This window comes from Homo sapiens, chromosome 19, assembly GCF_000001405.40.
Source record: "Homo sapiens chromosome 19, GRCh38.p14 Primary Assembly".
Classification (NCBI taxonomy): Eukaryota; Metazoa; Chordata; class Mammalia; order Primates; family Hominidae; genus Homo; species Homo sapiens.
The window spans coordinates 8,389,148-8,406,970 of NC_000019.10; the positions used below are offsets into that span (position 1 = coordinate 8,389,148).

Consider the following 17,823-nt stretch of genomic DNA (forward strand, 5'->3'; position numbering starts at 1 on the left):
AGGCTGCAGTGAGCCGAGAGCACACCATTGCACTTCAGCCTGGGCAACGACAGCAAAACTCCGTCTCAAAAAAAAAAAAAAAAACTGTCATAATTATTATTTCACTGGGTACATGTGTATCAAAACACACGCTGTACACCCTAAATATATAAAACAAACACATACTGTATTGTCAGGTAGTGATAAATCCTATCACTACCTGACAATACAGCAGTATGTGTTTTATTTTCTATATTACCTATTTTTATATTTTACCTATGTGGCAAAATATAGGACAAAAGAGGGGTAGTGGTAGGAGGTCCTGTTGGAGAGCATTGGTATCCAGTAAGGATTTAAAAGTATTTATTTAACAAAGAATAGCAGAAAGTGGACGGTTGATTCACACTTGGTGCAATCTCGGCTCACTGCAACCTCCACCTCCCAGGTTCAAGCGATTCTCCTGCCTCAACCTCCTGAGTAGCTGGGTTTACAGGCACCAGCGACCACGCCCGACTAATTTTTGTATTTTTAGTAGAAACGGGGTTTCACCATGTTGGTCAGGCTGGTCTCGAACTCCTGACCTCGTGATCCGCCAGCCTCGGCCTCCCAAAGTCCTGGAATTACAGGCGTGAGCCACCGCGCCTGGCTGATCTGGTTATTTTCAAAAGATTCCATGAGACGGGTTTCTTCAGTTTACAGAGGAGGAAACTGAGGCACAGAAGGATAACCCAGTGAGTCCCAATATAGAGATGGAGACTGCAACCGAGAAAGGGGACCCAGCGCTGAGGTCCCCGGAAATGGTCATTTATGGGCTTGGGGGGCGACCAGGGCAGCGCGCGCTGACCTATGACGTCATCGGGACGTTAAGCATCGTAGCATTACCTGGACGTAGCCCCATTTCTCTTCCCGGACAGGTCCTCTGATAGTCGGGTAGGTTCTCAATCAAGCCTCTCATTAGTTATTTGGTCTGTCAATCCATTTCATTCCTGCAGTCTTCCGCCCCGCCCTCTTGAGCTCGCCCCTGATAGGCTGGCGCGTCCGTCACTTCAAAAAGGTCCGCATTCCTTCCGCCTTTCTCCAGGACACCGAGGGCGAGGAGGGTGGTACCAAGCGGCGCCCACCCTCAGAGCACTACTTCCATCTCTGATTGGCTTCGCTGGGTGCCCGTCGCTACTCCACTCGCCGCTGATAGGCCATTCAACCGCCGCTCTGCGCGGCGCCGGCTCCGCCCCCGTCGGGTGTTTGTGGTGGGGCTGCGGAGTCGCCGATCCCGCCGGAAGCGCCAGGACAATGGGGACCCGGGACGACGAGTACGACTACCTATTCAAAGGTGCGGCCGGTGGGGCACAGACGGGCGAAGTCGTGGCGGCGAGGCGGCGGGCAGACGGGCCAAGGCCGCGCTCCAGGCCGCTGGGCCCAGGCCGGAGCCCGGGGCTTGGGGCCCGGCGGGTCAGGCAGCCGGGAAGGCCGGAGCCGACCGGGCAGCATCAGCTTCGGGCTAGGATGCGCGGCTATACGGAGCCGGAGGCCCGGAGAGACCTGGGGGACCTAGGACGCGCCGGGGCGGGGCCAGAGCCTAGAGGGGGTGGGGCCCGGAGCGGTGGGAGAGGCTGTTAGGGCGGGGCCTCCGCAGGGGGTGGAGCTTTCCCAAGATTTGGCGGGCCGGGCTGGGCTGAAAGCGTGATTCGGGATGGGGGCGGGGTTTTTAGGGGCGGGGCTAAGGCGTGATGGGCGTGACCAATAGGTGGGTTGGGCCTGGGCAAACGGAGGCGGGGCTCTCACGAGGCTTGTCCTGATTGGGGCAGCGTGTTTGGGGGTGGGGCCCGGGAGAGGCGGGGCAGGCAATGGGGGCTGGGCCGAGATGAGGGCCTGGGGGTGAGGTGTGTGGTGGTGGGAGCCTTGGATTGGGGTGCAAAGCTGGGATTGAGTGGAAAGGCACCCGTGTGTGCAGCAAGAATTCCATCTCTTCACTCAGAACTCTCAACAGTGCTAAGCCAGTACTTGCACTTTTCTGAGCACTTTACCCGAATTAACTAAAATCCTCACTGCAGCCCTTTGAGGTTGATACTAACCAGCCTCTCTTTTTACACGTTGGGAAACTGAGGCCCAGAGTGACAAAGACACAGTTTATAAGTGTTGGAACCCGATTGAGCCCAGGCCACCTGTAGGCCTTACCACTTAGGAAGCGTGTCTTAGGGGGCTTGTGGCCAGCATCTGGGACTTTGGGTTGTTGGACCAACTTCTTCCAACACGTGCGCACTGATGGCCGGGGCCCCAGCCAGCCTGCTGGAGGGTCTTCCCCGCCCGAGGGACTGAGGGGGCTCTAGGAGCATCACATAAGGCCTAGGTAGATCAGGCAGCCATTGCCCATTTAGGGACAGCTGGAGGAAGCCGGAGTCCCTTGTTTCTCAGCTGAGCCTTCTGTGCCCAGCTACACTTTGGCCTAGTGGTCTGCCCTGGTTGCTGGGCTCCCTGGCTGACAATGGCAGCCCTTGAGGGCTAACCCCTGGATCCAAGGTGCCTTCACCCTGCGGCCTGCTCTATGAGGGCCTGCGTCGCACATCAGCTGTTGGTATCCTCACCTCGCTGAGCCGTTCCTCCGAGTGTGCTCTGTGGCTTGCACCAGGCCTAGCTGGGCCTTGTGTCTGGTCTCATCCAGCGTCTTCTGATTGTGGGGAATGAGGCAGAGGTCTCCCCACCTGGGCTGTCCGTGTGGCGAAAGCCTTCCGGGGGGAGGGAGAGGAAGTGCCTCTACAAGGGCCTAGAGTCGTCCTGTGGCACTGAGGGCTCTGGCAGCTGCACACAGGTTGATAATGTCACTGGTGGGTGAGGCTCTGTGGTCAGCAGGTGCCCGGCCCAAGGTCTCGCCCCTCGTGGCAGGAGGAAGCTTTGGAAGGGTTTTGGAGACTGGGATTCTAAGGGGCCGTCTGGAGACAGGGGGACTAAACTTTGGGTCCTGCTGATCGGGTGCCATCTCCACTCAGCCCACCGTGAGGCAGCTGCTCCCAGGTCCTGGCTGGGCACCCACCCAGACGTGGCACTGCCAGGGCAGGGGTGTTGCTCCCCACATGCCCCATCCAGGTTTCTGTGGTTATCCCCTGCTTGTTATTTTTGCCCTTTTGCTGTGTTAAATGACCCAGCTCCGAGTGCTTGCTCAAGTCATGGTTTTGCCCTTTAGATTATTTCCTTGAAGTGCGTTCCCAGCAGAACAGTTACTGGGTCAGGAGCAATGGAGAGGCTGTGTGGTTCCCGGGACTTGTCTGCAGAGACTGCTTCCTGGAAACACTGATTTAGCTTCTGCGGCATCTGGCATTTGGCGGGCAGGCGGTGTGGGGTGGGGGGGGGCGGTGCCTGCCCTGCTGCCCTCCCCACACTGGCCTCCTTTTACTGAGTCTAGCAGGTGCCCTGCTGACCTTCTCAAGCTAGTTGGTAGCAAAAATCTAACCCACAAGTTCAGCTTTTCCCAAACTGGTCATCTGCCGTCTCACCTTCACAGCTGTGCCTCATCAGAGGACCTCCTCTATTCTCTTTCAATATTTTTCTTTTCCTTTTTCTTTTCTTTTTTTTTTTTTTTTTTTTTTGAGACAGAATTTTACTCTAGTCACCCAGCCTGGAGTGCAGTGGCGCAATCTCGGCTCACTGCAGCCTCCGTCTCCCGGGTTCAAACGATTCTCCTGCCTCAGCCTCCCGAGTAGCTGGGATTACAAGCACCCACCACACCCGGCTAATTTTTGTATTTTAGTAGATACGGGGTTTCACCATGTTGGCCAGCTGATCTTGAACTCCTGACCTCAGGTGATCCACCTGTCTCGGCCTCCCAAAGTGCTGGGATTACAGGCATGAGCCACCGTGCCTGGCCTCTGCATTTTTTTTTTTTTTTTTGGTGGCCACATCACGCACTGGCTCCCTTGACTTCAGCGGCCAAGGCCAGCAGATCCCCCGGGTGATGCCCCGTGTGCCATTTGTTTTCCTTCGTGAATGTTCTTTCCTTCCCCCAGGAATGACACTGTTGATTTGTACCTAATTATAGAGCCTCACATTTATCCTCCTAACATTTTCTCCTTTAGCCATGGGCCATTTTCATAGCCTGCCACTAATTGCCGTGGGACCCCAGATTTCTTTTCTGATGGACTCGGTACTCCATGGTTGCAGCTGTGTCCCCAAGGGCCACTGAGGTCCTCTCAGAGCCCTTCCCCTACCCTAGAGGCCCTGGCCAATCAGGGCTCACCTGGCCCTGGAGGACATGGGTCGTGGGGGAAACGGGCCGCAGCTGCCCCAGGCCCTGTCCTCTGGGTCTTGTCCACCCCTCCCCTGCCCAAGGACAAGGTGGCCCCTGTCCCCAGGGAAGGGGCCTGCCTGGTGCTTCCCTTTCTGTGCTGAGGCTCCTGAGGCAGCTCCCAGCCCTCAAGCCTGGGCAGACCTCACAGTGGGCCTGCTGTTCCAGTTGCTGTTTGGGGACCCAAACATACCATCTTCCCCATTTAGAATGGGGGTCCCTCCAGTGCCCTGGCTCTGTACACCTCCCCATAGAAGAGCTGAGACAAGAGTGGCCCCCAGTGCCGGTCCCTGGGGCCTAGGATGCTTAGGACCAGCTTCCAGGGGAGGGATGGGGGCACTGCTTGGCTCCGCCAGGCTCTGCCGGAATGGGGGCACCATTCCCCTGAAGAGTCTCTCAGTCTGCCTGAGCATTAGGGTCTGGGCCCCCAGGGCCACCACACTGTCATGGGGCAGGCCAGGGCACCTAGGACTTCTCAGAGGTGCCAGTTCTTTGTTTTTGCCAACCGGGCTTGCCTGCTCTGTCAGCCAAGTGGCGTGTCTGGGGTAGGGGGGTCGCTTCCCAGCCAGTGAAGCCACCAACTTCTGTGGAAATGCTCGGAGCTGTGTCCTCAAGGGCTCTTTATTTCCCCAAGACAACAGATTGCTTGTGTCCTAGACAATGAAGTTTTCATCCCCAGCCTGCATCCTGGACCAGCCCGCCACTGCCCCGCTGGCCACCTCTCTGCATCGGGCACCCAGTGCCAGGGACTGGTTGGGCAGCTCAGCCTCTTTGCCATTCACCTGTTTTGTCACCCAGACTGGAGTGCAGTGGCTTAGTGTCAGCTCACTGCAACCTCCGCCTCCTGGGTTCAAATGATTCTCCTGCCTCAGCCTCCTGAGTAGCTGGGATTACAGGTGCCTACCACCATGCCCACCTATTTTTTGTATTTTTAGTAGAGACGGGGTTTCGCCATGTTGACAGGCTGGTCTCGAACTCCTGAGCTCAAGTGATCCACCCGCCTTGGCCTCCCAAAGTGCTGGGATTACAGGCGTGAGCCACTGCACCTGGCCTGTCATTGATCTGTTCAGTGGCCATTTGGCCTTTGCTCTGACTTGGTCACTCTGGGTTGAGTGTCCCCAGCTGTTCAGGGAGAATGATAATATTTACATCTGTCCCTGGGGCAGCCCTGAGAATGTGGACAGCTGAGGCCTGCAAAGCACTGGGGACCCAGCCTGGCCAAAGTGCTTGAGGGCAAAACTGATGGGGCTGGGTGCCATGGCTCACGCCTGGAATCCTAGTACTTTGGAAGGCCGAGGTGGGTGAATCACTTGAAGTCAGGAGTTTGAGACAGCCTGGCCAACATGGCAAAACCCCACCTCTACTAAAAATACAAAAATTATCTGGGCGTCGTGGTGCACGCCTATAATCCCGGCTACTCGGGAGGCTGAGGCAGGAGGATCTCTTGAACTCAGGAGGCGGAGAGTACAGTGAGCTGAGATTGTGTCAGTGCACTCCAGCCTGGGCGAGGGAGATTCCATCTCAATACAAACAAACAAAAACAAACAAACTGATGGGGCTGAGGAGCCACTAAGGCTGTACAGCTGGGGCAAGGCTGGAATGGTGTGAAGGTGTCGGGAATGCCTGGGCAGGGCCCGAGTTTCCTGTCTTATTTCCTGAGGACGTGAGAACTGAGCAGACCTCCCTGGCCTTGGCCAGGCTCCCGTAGCTGCCGTGGAAAGGAGGTTAAGGTTGGTGGTGTAGATGGGGGCCCTCACAGTGAGTCCATCTTGGCCCCCAGTGGCCTGGGAGCCGATTCTCATCCCTACTGGCTTGGTTGGGAGGTGCTGGGCCACACGCCTACATTCACTCCACCTCTTTCCATCTTTCTTTTTTTTTTTTTTTTTTTTGAGATGGAGTCTCGCTGTGTCGCCCAGCTTGGAGTGCAGTGGCACGATCCCGGCTCACTGCAACCTCCGCCTCCCAGGTTCAAATGATTCTCTTGCCTCAGCCTCCACCACCACACCCGGCTAATTTTTGTATTTTTCATAGAGACGGGGTTTCACCATGTTAGTCAGGTTGGTCTCAAACTCCTGACCTCAAATGATCCGCCTGCCTCGGCCTCCCCAAGTGCTGGGATTACAGGATTACAGGCATGAGCCACTGTACCCGGCCATCTTTCTGTCTTTCTCTGAAGTCCACTTGGTAGCCCTGTGCGGGGCACCCATGGTGACGTGAGAGAATGCCAGCCCCGTTGTCTTAGGTCTTTCACGCCAGGCCAAGCAGTGGTCTTTGGGGAGAGGAGAGGTCTGAGCCGAGGGGTCTTGAAGGATGAGTAGGAGTTTGCTGGCCGCCCCAGGGGGACAGGCTGCCCTATGCGGTGGGAGCTGGGGTGCCCAGAGCCTCAATGCCCACCCCATAAGGCAGAACCACGACTCCCGAGCCACGTGCTGGGGTTTGGGGTAGGACAGTGAGTGTGGCAGTGAGTTGCGAAGGAAGAACTTGGACTGTGGATGCAGAAGACCTGGGTTCAAATCCTGCCTGGCTCACTTCCCAGGCGGTGGCTCCAGACAAGTCACTTGGGGAGCACCGTTGGGAGGTGAGGGCGAGCCCACAAACATGCATAGCTTCAGGGTCCTGCTCTGCCCCGCACCCCGTTCCCCATCCAAGCCTCAGTTTCCTCATCTGTAAAAATGGGCTACAGGAGGCTTCTGCGAAGTAACGCACATCAAGAGCTTTGTTAGCACAAGCTCATCGAATATTCTCCTTGTTCTTGTTATTCTTGGCTTCCAAGCAGCCAACCAGAGCGGGTACCAGGTGGGGTTGTAGGGGCTGCCTGATCCTGCCCTCCTCACCTGTGGCCCAAGGGTGGTGACCTGGCATCCTCTAGGTATGGGGCAGGCGGCATGCGTGGGAGGCTCTGCCAGCCTTTTTGGCATTTTGTTTGTTCACTTGACAGACATTTTCTTGGGTGTTTATTGTGTGCCAAGCACTGTGCCAGGACCTGATTCCTGCCCTTGGGGCAGACTGGCAAAAGATAAATGCCACCTGACAGGTGAGAGAGTGGCAAGAGTGACGGAGGAAGAACTGGGTCCGGGAGCAGGGTAATTCGGAGAGTAGAGTTTTAGTAGCATAGCAGGGAGGGCCTTCTTGGCCAAGTGGCATTTAAGGGGCCACACGAAGGGGATGAGGGAGGGAGCCAGGTGTGTGCCTGGAGAAGAGCGTTTCTGGCAGCAGGAGCAACCCGTGCAAAGGCCCTGAGGCAGGATCGCACCTGGCGTGTTGGGGGAACAGCATGGAGGCCTGTGTGGCTGGAGCAGAGTGAGCCGGGGGGGGGGCGGGAGGGAGGAGGGGAGGGCCCTGTGGGCAGCGGGGAGGACTGTGGCTTTTCCCCTGCGGAAGGTGGGGGCCACGGAGGGTTGTCTGCAGAGGAGGGAGGGAGGTGCCCTGGCTCGGCACTCACGGGCGCTCTCTGGTGGCTGCTGCAGGAGGACAGCGTTTTGGTTGGTGATGAGCGTGAACACAGGGACCGCACAGACAATACCTTCCAGGGTCTGAGAGTCTGGAATGGAATCGCCCAGGGAGACATGGTGGGGTGCACCCCTCGTCCTCCCTTCTCTTGGATCTGTTTCGGATGTGCTGAAGGATTGATTCTGAGATGCGAGAGAAAGGAAGGAGTCGAGAATGACTCCAGGTTTCTGGCATGAGTGCCTGGTAGGACCAAGCCAAAGTTAACCAAGATAAGGAGGGTAGGTGAGCGGTGGGTGAGCAGGCTTAGGGAGTGATCGGGAGCTTGGCTCTGCTCTTCTGGGTATGAGGGGCCTGGGGCCCCTGAGGAGACATGAAGGAGACAATGGGCACGCCAGTCTGGGCTTCTAGGGAGAGAGGTAATATAGGAGTTACCAGCCCATGGCTGGTATTTACAGCCATGAGCCTGGATGGGGTCACCTGGGGACTGGGTGTGGACAGAGATGCCTGTCCTGAGGCTCCCTGAGGTTCGAAGGTAGAGTGGGAGACTGAGTGGGAGTGACTGTGAGGAGAGGAGTCGGGGTGTGGAGCCCCTGCAGGCAGGGAAGGAGGGAGAGCTGGCTGGGTGCCTGCTGCACAGGCCCGGGGGAGTGGGGGTAGCTGAGGCTGACACTGACTGTGGGGGCGAAAGCGTGCTTGGTTTGAGTTCTAGGACTGGGGGACAGGAGGTGGAGTGAGTGAGTGTAGATGATACCTTCCAGTGCCCGAGGCAGGAAGTTGGGTCAGGAGAGAATGTTTTCTAGAGGGAAAATTCCAAACGTGTAGGTACAGCCCCACAGTGTGGCCAGGGGAAGGGCAGAGGAGGGCTGCCTGGTGGGCTCCAGGGCCTGCTCCCTCAATGTAGCAGGGGTCCCGAGTGGGGCCAGCGGACCTCTGGGTCAGCCAGGGCTCAGCCTGGCTGCCAGCACCTCCCCGAGCTCAGGAGGAACAGCCATACCCATCTCTTCCCAGACAAGGAAGCCTCATCCTCAGTGGATGCCCCCTAACTCCCTGGGACCAGGGATGACCAAGCCACTGAGCCAACCCACCCTCAGGTGCCGGGGCCCAAGGCCCACACTTGGGGGTCCACGGGGCTTCTGGCTGGGGCGTCTGGTTGGCTGTATTCAAGTGCACACACACACACTGATCTTCCCCACATGGTATGTTCTGGGTCTGGGGACAGCTCACCCAGACCCCACCCCAGAGCCTGGGGCGGCTGGGCCCATAGGGACAGTGCTTCCATGGCTGGGACAGGAAACAGTTTACAAGGCAGCTCACCCCTGGCCTGACCAGCAGGCACCTGCTCTGCTCAGGGAAAGTGTTCCTGATGCTCCTTGGCCAGCATGAGACAGGCCTGCTGCACACCCCGTGTCGACTGGGCTCAGGCCCCCGTCCCTGGGTGCTGTTGCCCACAAACCCTCATCTCTGTTCTGTCCACGCTGCGCTGACTCCTTTCTGGGCCAGGGTTTGCATCTTGGCAAGCTGCTCTGCTGTGCACCCCCCTCCTGGGACAATGCATACCTGTGTTGGAGCCTTGTGAGGAGCTGTGCACACACGTGGACTGCCACACGGACTGCCCCTTGAATGAGGACTTAGCCTTGGCTGGAGCTCCCTGCAGCTCAGCAGGGGACCTGACCCTGGGGACAGGGGTGGTGGGAGGTGGCTGCAGGCTCTTTCCTCCGGGCTGCGTCCTCAGGGCACATTCCTGTTTCCCACTCAGCCATCTGTGCCGAAGCTGGATGTGGGTTTGCTGCACCAGGAGAGGTGGGGGTTGAGGTGGGAGTAGCTCCTCATGTCCTGTCACTTACATACCTGGAGCAGTGACCCTTCCCATGCCCTGACCAGAAACCACAACAACCGTGACAGCTGCCTACTCGTGTCCCTTCCTGTGCGATGCCTGCTCTTTTCGTGGGGGGAGACAGAATCTCTGTTGCCTAGGCTGGAGTGCAGTGATTCGATCTCGGCTCACTGCAGCCTCCACCTCCTGGGCTCAAGCGATTCTCCTGCCTCAGCCTCCTGAGTAGCTGGGGCTACAGTAGCCACCACGCCCAGCTAATTATTATTATTATTATTTTTTTTTTTGAGATGGAGTCTCGCTCTGTCACCCAGGCTGGAGTACGGTGGCGTGATCTCGGCTCACTGCAAGCTCCGCCTCCCGGATTCACGCCATTCTCCTGCCTCAGCCTCCCAAGTAGCTGGGGCTACAGGCGCCCGCTACCACACCCAGCTAATTTTATTGTATTTTTAGTGGAGATGGGGTTTCACCACGTTAGCCAGGATGGTCTCGATCTCCTGACCTCGTGATCCACCCGCCTCGGCCTCCCAAAGTGCTGGGATTACAGGTGTGAGCCACCGCGCCCGGGTACTTTTTGTATTTTTTATAGAGACGGGATTTCACCATGTTGGCCAGGCTGGTCTCGAACTCCCGACCTCAAGTGATCCGCCTGGCTCATCCTCTCAAAGCATTGAGATTACAGGCGGGAGCCACCGTGCCTGGCCATGCCTGCTCTTACTTCCTCCTCCTGTGACTGCCTTCCTGTTCACACATTTGGAAAAAGTAGTCCAGAGGTGAAGTGACTTGCCCAAGGTCACCCCGCTCAGGAGCCTTCTCAAGCCGTGTCTGGCTGCCCAGCCACCAGGCTGCAGGTGGAGGCTCAGGGTTGATGGATCTCAAGCTGCTCTGCCTGCCTGGCTGCCTGGGTCCCCTTGCCCCAGCTGGGACAGCCCTGCTCTGAGGACCAGACACAGGCAGGTGTTGTGCTATCCGCAGTGGCTGTTTCTGGAAGGCAGGAGCCTGCCTTCACTTCTGCACCACTTAGCACAGTGCCTGCAGGCCCTGGGCTCCAGGCATCTCTCGACTCCTCCACACCGTTGGCAGCCGCGTTGGTGCAGCACCCAGGGAACCGGCGGGAAGGTTGTGGGGGCAGTCGTGGGTGGAGTGTGGGGATTCACAGAACCTCGCCTTCCCGCCCAGTGGTGCTCATCGGGGACTCAGGCGTGGGCAAGAGCAACCTGCTGTCGCGCTTCACCCGCAACGAGTTCAACCTGGAGAGCAAGAGCACCATCGGCGTGGAGTTCGCCACCCGCAGCATCCAGGTGGACGGCAAGACCATCAAGGCGCAGATCTGGGACACCGCTGGCCAGGAGCGCTACCGCGCCATCACCTCCGCGTGCGTGTCGGCAGCCTGGGCAGGGACGCTGAGATTCGGGGGCGTGGGCTTGCAGCGCGTGGGCTTGGAAGGATGTGTAGGAGTTGGGCAGGAGAAGGGGAGAGTGTGCTCCCAAGACCAGGGAGTGAGGCTGGAAGAACGCTTTAGCCATGCGCCGTGGGACCCTCAGGCTGACCAGCGCCCAGCCTTCGCCACACCAGGGTATCTCTGGGTACCAAGTGCAGTGAGGACCTAGCTCAGGCCACTCCGCCTTGCCGCTGCCCCTGCCCAGCCAGCATCCCAGCCTTCCTCCTCCCTCAGCTTCCCTCCTCACTGGTGCCCACACCTGGTCCCACACGCCTCCTGTCCTCCCACCTGGGCCTGGCCTCCATTCCCTGCAAAGGCTTCCCAGCCATCAGGACCCACTCAGCTGCCTTTTTCTGGACCCCTCCCAAGCCCCCCAGCCATTCCCACCACCGTCTTGAGATCCTCTGGGCTCCCTCCCATCTCCTTCATCCCTCAGGTACATCTGTCTCTCTGTCACCTCCTCTTGTTTTTTTTTTTTTGAGATGGAGTTTCACTCTTGTCGCCCAGGCTGGAGTGCGATGGCACGATCTCGGCTCACTGCAACCTCCGCCTCCTGGGTTCAAGCGATTCTCCTGCCTCAGCCTCCCAAGTAGCTGGGATTATAGGCACATGCCGCCATACCAGGCTAATTTTGTATTTTTAGTAGAGATGGGGTTTCTCCACATTGGTCAGGCTGGTCTCAAACTCCCGCCCTCAGGTGATCCACCCTCTCGGCTTCCCAAAGTGCTGAGATTACAGGTGGCGTGAGCCACCGTGCCTGGCTGTCGCCTCCTCTTTTTTGGAGACAGACAGGGTCTTGCTCTGTCGCCCAGGCTGGAGTGCAGTGCCACAATTGCAGCTCACTGCCCCCTTGACCTCCCAGGCTCAAGCGATTCTCCTGCCTCAGCCTCCTGAGTAGCTGGGGCTACAGGCCTGTGCCACCATGCCTGGCTAATTTAATTAATTAATTTATTTATTTTTTAGTTTTAGTTTTTGAGACAGAGTCTCACTCTGTCGCCCAGGCTGGAGTGCAGTGGCGCAGTCTCAGCTCACTGCAAGCTCTGCCTCCCAGGTTCACGCCATTCTCCTGCCTCAGCCTCCTGAGCAGCTGGGACTACAGGCGCCCACCACCACGCCTGGCTAATTTTTTGTATTTTTAGTAGAGATGGGGTTTCACCGCATTAGCCAGGATGGTCTCGATCTCCTGACCTCATGATCTGCCCGCCTCGGCCTCCCAAAGTGCTGGGATTACAGGCGTGAGCGACCCTGCCTGGCCTATTTATTTATTTTTTTGAGATAGAGTCTCACTCTGTCATCCAGACTGAAGTGCAGTGTCACAATCTCGGCTCACTGCAACCTCCGCCCCCCGCCCCCCAGGGTTCAAGCAATTCTCCTGCCTTAGCCTCCCGAGTAGCTGGGATTACAGGCGCCTGCCACCACGCCTGGCTAATTTTTGTATTTTTAGTAGAGATGGGGTTTCACCATCTTGGCCAGGCTGATCTTGAATTCCTGACCTCGTGATCCACCTGCCTCGGCTTCCCAAAGTGCTGGGATTACAGGCATGAGCCACGACCCCCGGCCAATTTTTGTGTTTTTCTAGTAGAGATGGGGTATCGCCATGTTGCCCAGGCTGGTCTGAAACTCCCAGCCTCAAGTGATCCACCCGCCTCAGCCTCCCAAAGTGCTGGGATTACAGGCATGAGCCACCATGCCCAGCCCCTTCTTCCCTTTTTTTGATGACCTCACGGTATCTTCTATTTCCAGCTCCCAAACTCCCTCCTCAGACCCCCACATTTCAGAGCTGGATCCAGGGAGCAGCGCTGGGGCCTCCAGACACACACCCTTCCCTTGAGGCCACAATGACTGCCCCTTGGCTCGGCCCTGGACGACCCACCCTGGGCGTGATGTGTGCTGTTATCCCGTGAGGCTGCCGCTGCCCATGGTTGTCCTCCAGAGAGGCTCATGGGCCCCTGACCCTGCAGGTACTACCGTGGTGCAGTGGGCGCCCTGCTGGTGTACGACATCGCCAAGCACCTGACCTATGAGAACGTGGAGCGCTGGCTGAAGGAGCTGCGGGACCACGCAGACAGCAACATCGTCATCATGCTGGTGGGCAACAAGAGTGACCTGCGCCACCTGCGGGCTGTGCCCACTGACGAGGCCCGCGCCTTCGCAGGTGAGCAGACGGAGACGCAGGCATCAGAGAGGTGTCTGGAAGGCAGGAGGCCCCTCACAGTGTTGGGGCCCTGGCCACAGCCCTGGCTTCCCTTCCCTGAGGAGTGGCCTTGGGATGGGCCAGGTGGGTGGGCGGGGTCCCTGAGAGCATGTGGGAGCCTGTCACCCTGCCTCCCCACTCACCTAGGCAGTATTCTTTGTTCCAGAAAAGAACAACTTGTCCTTCATCGAGACCTCAGCCTTGGATTCCACTAACGTAGAGGAAGCATTCAAGAACATCCTCACAGGTGGCCGGGGACCAGATGGGTGTGGGTAGGGCACCAGCCAGGCAGGGTGGAACACGGCCTCTGAACCTTCGCTTGTTTTGTTCGTTTGCTTGTTTTTTTCTTTTTTTTGTCGGGGCAGGATGGATTTTTGCTCTTTGCCCAGGCTGGAGTGTGGTGGCTCGATCTCAGCTTACTGCAACCTCCGCCTTCCAGGTTCAGGCAATTCTCCTGCCTCAGCCTCCCGAGTAGCTGGGATTACAGGTGCCTGCCACCACACCCGCTAATTTTTGTAATTTTTAGTAGAGACAGGATTTCACAATGTTGTCCAGGTTGATCTCGAACTCCTGGGCTCAAGTGATCCTCCTGCCTCAGCCTCCCAAAGTGCTGGGATTACAGGCGTGAGCCACTGCACCTGGCCTGTTTGATTTTTTTCCACCACCACCCCTAACCTTTGCTTTTTAAACCTGCCGGTCCACCTGGACACTTCACAGGGTCAGACCAGGTCTAGCCCTTGCTGGCACTGGGGACACAGAGACCCCCTGGCCCCAGTTCCTGGGGATGGGCCCTGCCTTAACTCTTGGCGCTGCGGGGAGGCGGGTAGCCTCAGGGACCTGGAGCCTTTTGGCTTCTGGGAGTTTACCTCTGAGGGAGGAGGGCGCTTCTGATCTTAGGGAGCGAGAGGCCGGGGCTGGCTGTGACCAGATGTGGGTCCTGGCTGGGTGCGCAGCCCCTGTCCTTGTTACCCCTGATGTGATGGGGGCGCTGTGGGGGTCTGGAGAGGGCCTCTGGAGTCCTGCAGGGAGGGGTTCCCCTCGGCAGGCAGGGCACGTGCTGGCTCACCCCACGTCCCCCTGTACCCCCTTTGCAGAGATCTACCGCATCGTGTCACAGAAACAGATCGCAGACCGCGCTGCCCACGACGAGTCCCCGGGGAACAACGTGGTGGACATCAGCGTGCCGCCCACCACGGACGGACAGAAGCCCAACAAGCTGCAGTGCTGCCAGAACCTGTGACCCCTGCGCCTCCACCCAGCGTGCGTGCACGTCCTCCGCCCGCCCCCGCCACGGTATCCTCTGGCCCCTCCCTGCTGTCCCTCTGTGGCCGGCTCGTTCCAGCCCTCCCAGTGAGCTCTGCACGGCCGGGCCGGGGCCCAGGAAGGACAGGAGCCAGTGCTACCCCGTCCTGCCCGGGGAAAAGCTAGAAGCCCCGGTTTGCTGCACCCATGAAACTCGGGTCCCCACAGCGTCTTGGCGGGGTGGGGAGGGCGGCAGGATGGACGGGGCTGGCCAGAGGCGAGGAGGACGGGCGGACGGCGCCGCCTTCTCCCCTTTTCCTTGGCCGACTCTAGGGAGCGATTGCCTCCCTCCCTCCGTGACCGGGTGGCCCAGCCAGCCCGTCGTCCCCACCCAGAACCGTGCTCTGGGCCAAAGCCCGAAGAACCAGGCAGCGGGGGCCGGGGCAGGCGGACCCCCCGGGCTCTCAGCGCCCACCCGCTCCTCCGCACACAGCAGCTCGCACAGGCCTCCCACCTCTGCCTGTTGATTGATGCAGGGAGAAGCCCGTCCCCCCCTCTCCCCTCTCCCCTCCCCTCTCCTGCACGCAACGCGCCCTCTCGGCCCTCCCTGTCCCCCTCCTCTGTCTCGTCTCCCCATCTGGTCTGGAACCTGTTTGCAAGTGAAGCAATATCTCCGTGTTTTGTATATACAACCGCTCTTGTAGCCTTTGGTTTTTGTTAATGTAGAGAAACACAGATTCTTTATACACTTTGTAAGATTTACGCCAAACCCCAGCTCTCGATCTCTTCTTCTCCCTGTGGCCCCTGCGCTGTTGCCCCGTCCCCGTCACCCCGCCCGTTACTGAAATGTATAATCTGACTTCCTGTACAGAAACCTGCCGCTGCGCCTCTGTCTTCTTTCTTTTCCGCCAGGCGCCAGCTCCTAGGCTGAGGCCCCTCTCGCTGCACGTTCCCCAATGCAGGCCAGACCCCCCGTCTCCCCAGCCCACCCCACAGGAAGCGAGAGGACCCCAGCACCTGCCAAGGGCAGCGTGGAAGTCAGCCAGCGCAGTTGGGGTGGGCCCTGGTCAAGCTGCCCCTGTGGCAGGGAGGGATGGAAGGCTGCCGCTTGTCCTTGACTTTAAACTCCTGGGTCCTAGGACCTCAGGCCTGCGGGCGTCCCCTGATGGGGATGGGAGCCAAGAGCAGTGGCCAGGGTTCATCACTTTGTCTCCTGCCAGGGCCTCCCCTCCCCTGGGGTCCTGACGAGGGTGACTTGCCCAGTGGATGTTGGTGATGCCAGATGTCTCCACCCTAAACTGACACCGGAGGAGGGCCCAGTGGGGAAATGCCAGGGACAGCAAAATGTGTGGCATGGAGTTCCTCTTCCCAGGATCCAGCGTCTCCCTCCACCTCACCCCTGCAGTGACCTTGGGACCAGTGTGAGCTGCCAGCAGCTGTCCAAAAGCTCCAGCCTCTAGCTGAAGAGGCCACCCACACCCTGAAGACCCTGGGGACCCATGAGAGAGGACAGCACCACTCCCTCTTGATTCTAGACTGGCTGCCCTGCCTGGAGGGATAGGGGATCACAGACACCTTTTCCCAGAAGAGCTCCAGGTCGCTGGGAGCTGTGTAGACACAGGAGTTGGAATGAGCCAAGGTGTGCGCTCCAGGCCCAGGGAGCAGCCTGGCACAGAGCTAACTGGCAGAATTGGAGGCACCTGGGCACCCTGGGCTCCAAGGCCCATTCACAGAGACCCCTGGGACATGGATTCCCCTGGGTTTGGGCAGGGCAGGTCATGTGGTGGACAGAGGCATTGGGTGCTAAGCAAGAAAGCACCTTGAGCTTTTGTTTGTTTGTTTGTTTGTTTTGAGACAGAGCCTTGCTCTGTCACCCAGGCTGGAGTGCAGTAGTGTGATCTTGGCTCACTGCAACCTCCACCTCCCAGGTTCAAGGGATTCTCCTGCCTCAGCCTCTGGAGTAGCTGGGATTACAGGCACATGCGACCACACCCAGCTTATTTTTGTATTTTTAGTAGAGACAGAGTTTTGCCATGTTGCCCAGGCTGGTCTCGAACTCCTGACCTCAGATGATCTACCCGCCTCGACCTCCCAAAGTGCTGGGATTACAGGCGTGAGCCACCGTGATTGGCCTTAGCACCTTGAATTTCAAGCAGTCAAAAGATCAACAAATATTTCTAGAGCCGCCATTATCTGCTAGGCCTGAGATGGGGACTGACTGACATACTCTATGTCCCTTTAAGAGTCAGAAGCCAGCAATGCCAGTTTAATTACTCTGATTTCAGTGATTTAATAAGCACGTCCTGCTCACTCTGCCAGACTCTGTTCTTAAATCTTTTATTATTATGGTAACATACACATAACATAAAACTTAACTTTTTTTGGCCAGGCGCGGTGGCTCACGCCTGTAATCCCAGCACTTTGGGAGGCCAAGGTGGGTGGATCACGAGGTCAGGAGATTGAGACCATCCTGACTAACATGGTGAAACCCCGTCTCTACTAAAAATACAAAAAAAAATTAGCCAGGCATGGTAGCGGGCGCCTGTAGTTCCAGCTACTCGGGAGGCTGAGGCGGGAGAATGGCGTGAACCCGGGAGGCGGAGCTTGCAGTGAGCAGAGATTGTGCCACTGCACTCCAGCCTGGGCGACATAGCGAGACTCCGTCTCAAAAAAAAAACTTTTTTTTTTTTTTTTAAGTCAGGGTCTCGCTCTGTCGCCCAGGCTGGAGTGCAGTGGCATGATCTCACTACAACCTCCAACTCCCAGGCTCAAGCCATCCTCCCACCGCAGCCTCCCAAGTAGCTGGAACCACAGGCACACGCCACAACGCCTGGCTAATTTTTGTATTTTTTGTAGAGGCAGGGGTCTCACTGTGTTGCCCAGGCTGGTCTCGAACTCCTGGGCCCAAGAAATCCACCCACCTCAGCCTGTCAAGATGTTGGGATTACAGGCTTGAGCCACCATGCCTGGCCCATATGGCAATTCTACGTTTACTTTTCTTAGGGACCGTGTTAAATCTTTCACACATCATTATTTGTTATTTGCAACAACCCAACGAGGTGGGCATAATATACTGGCCCCTTTTACAGAAGTTAAGTGATTCCCCTAAGGTCTCACAATTAGTAAGATGCAGACAGGTTTCAAACCCAGAACTGTGTGTAACCGCTAAGTTATGAGGCTTCTCTGAGCATTTATTGAGTACCAGCTATGAGCCAGAAAACTCTAAGAAGTGGATAAAATGCCCAGATAAAAGGCTGGGAAGACAGCCGGGCACAGTGGTGTGACCTGTAGTCCCAGCTACTCTGGGTCTGAGACAGGAGAATTTCTTTTTTCTTTTCTTTTTTTTGAGATGGAGTCTCGCTCTGTCGCCCAGGCTGGAGTGCAGTGGCTTGATCTCGGCTCACTGCAAC

The 17,823-nt window shown here is 57.7% G+C and overlaps 1 protein-coding gene, 1 long non-coding RNA gene and 1 other non-coding gene across 3 annotated transcripts in view, besides 4 other annotated features; 1 reads left to right on the forward strand and 2 right to left on the reverse strand.

Moving 5' to 3' along the window:
* RAB11B-AS1 (RAB11B antisense RNA 1) overlaps window positions 1-1,544 on the reverse strand; it is a 16,316-nt gene extending 14,772 nt beyond the window's left edge. Inside the window, exon 1 of the long non-coding RNA NR_038237.1 lies at window positions 862-1,544. This is a non-coding gene — a long non-coding RNA (RAB11B antisense RNA 1). The remainder of the gene's footprint in view (window positions 1-861) is intronic.
* Window positions 143-233, reverse strand: MIR4999 (microRNA 4999). The gene has a single exon (NR_049795.1). It is a non-coding gene; the product is annotated as a microRNA 4999 (primary transcript).
* Window positions 845-1,126: a silencer, noted in NCBI's record as "fragment chr19:8454876-8455157 (GRCh37/hg19 assembly coordinates)". NCBI's record gives its function as "represses an EF-1alpha promoter that drives an FKBP-Casp9 reporter gene in an ReSE screen in HepG2 liver carcinoma cells and K562 erythroleukemia cells {active_cell/tissue: HepG2 | K562}" and the evidence as "EXISTENCE:reporter gene assay evidence [ECO:0000049][PMID:32094911]".
* Window positions 876-1,075: an enhancer, noted in NCBI's record as "active region_13915". NCBI's record gives its function as "activates an Ori minimal core promoter by ATAC-STARR-seq in GM12878 lymphoblastoid cells {active_cell/tissue: GM12878}" and the evidence as "EXISTENCE:reporter gene assay evidence [ECO:0000049][PMID:35858748]".
* On the forward strand, window positions 1,213-15,287 carry RAB11B (RAB11B, member RAS oncogene family). Its single transcript, NM_004218.4, has 5 exons — window positions 1,213-1,309; window positions 10,716-10,911; window positions 12,939-13,132; window positions 13,338-13,418; window positions 14,266-15,287. The coding sequence occupies exons 1-5, from the start codon at window positions 1,270-1,272 to the stop codon at window positions 14,409-14,411; spliced, it is 657 nt and encodes a 218-aa protein (NP_004209.2). The 5' UTR covers window positions 1,213-1,269; the 3' UTR covers window positions 14,412-15,287.
* Window positions 1,346-1,605: a silencer, noted in NCBI's record as "silent region_10020". NCBI's record gives its function as "represses an Ori minimal core promoter by ATAC-STARR-seq in GM12878 lymphoblastoid cells {active_cell/tissue: GM12878}" and the evidence as "EXISTENCE:reporter gene assay evidence [ECO:0000049][PMID:35858748]".
* Window positions 7,552-7,601: a silencer, noted in NCBI's record as "silent region_10021". NCBI's record gives its function as "represses an Ori minimal core promoter by ATAC-STARR-seq in GM12878 lymphoblastoid cells {active_cell/tissue: GM12878}" and the evidence as "EXISTENCE:reporter gene assay evidence [ECO:0000049][PMID:35858748]".
* Window positions 15,288-17,823: the final 2,536 nt, after the last annotated feature.

Bases quoted from the DNA above. Each gene is read 5' to 3' on its own strand.
- RAB11B (NM_004218.4), top strand. From the start codon at position 1,270: ATGGGGACCCGGGACGACGAGTACGACTACCTATTCAAAG. The intron at 10,912-12,938 runs GTGCGTGTCGGC...CTGACCCTGCAG, and splicing joins TACCGCGCCATCACCTCCGC to GTACTACCGTGGTGCAGTGG. The intron at 13,419-14,265 runs GTGGCCGGGGAC...CCCCCTTTGCAG, and splicing joins ATTCAAGAACATCCTCACAG to AGATCTACCGCATCGTGTCA.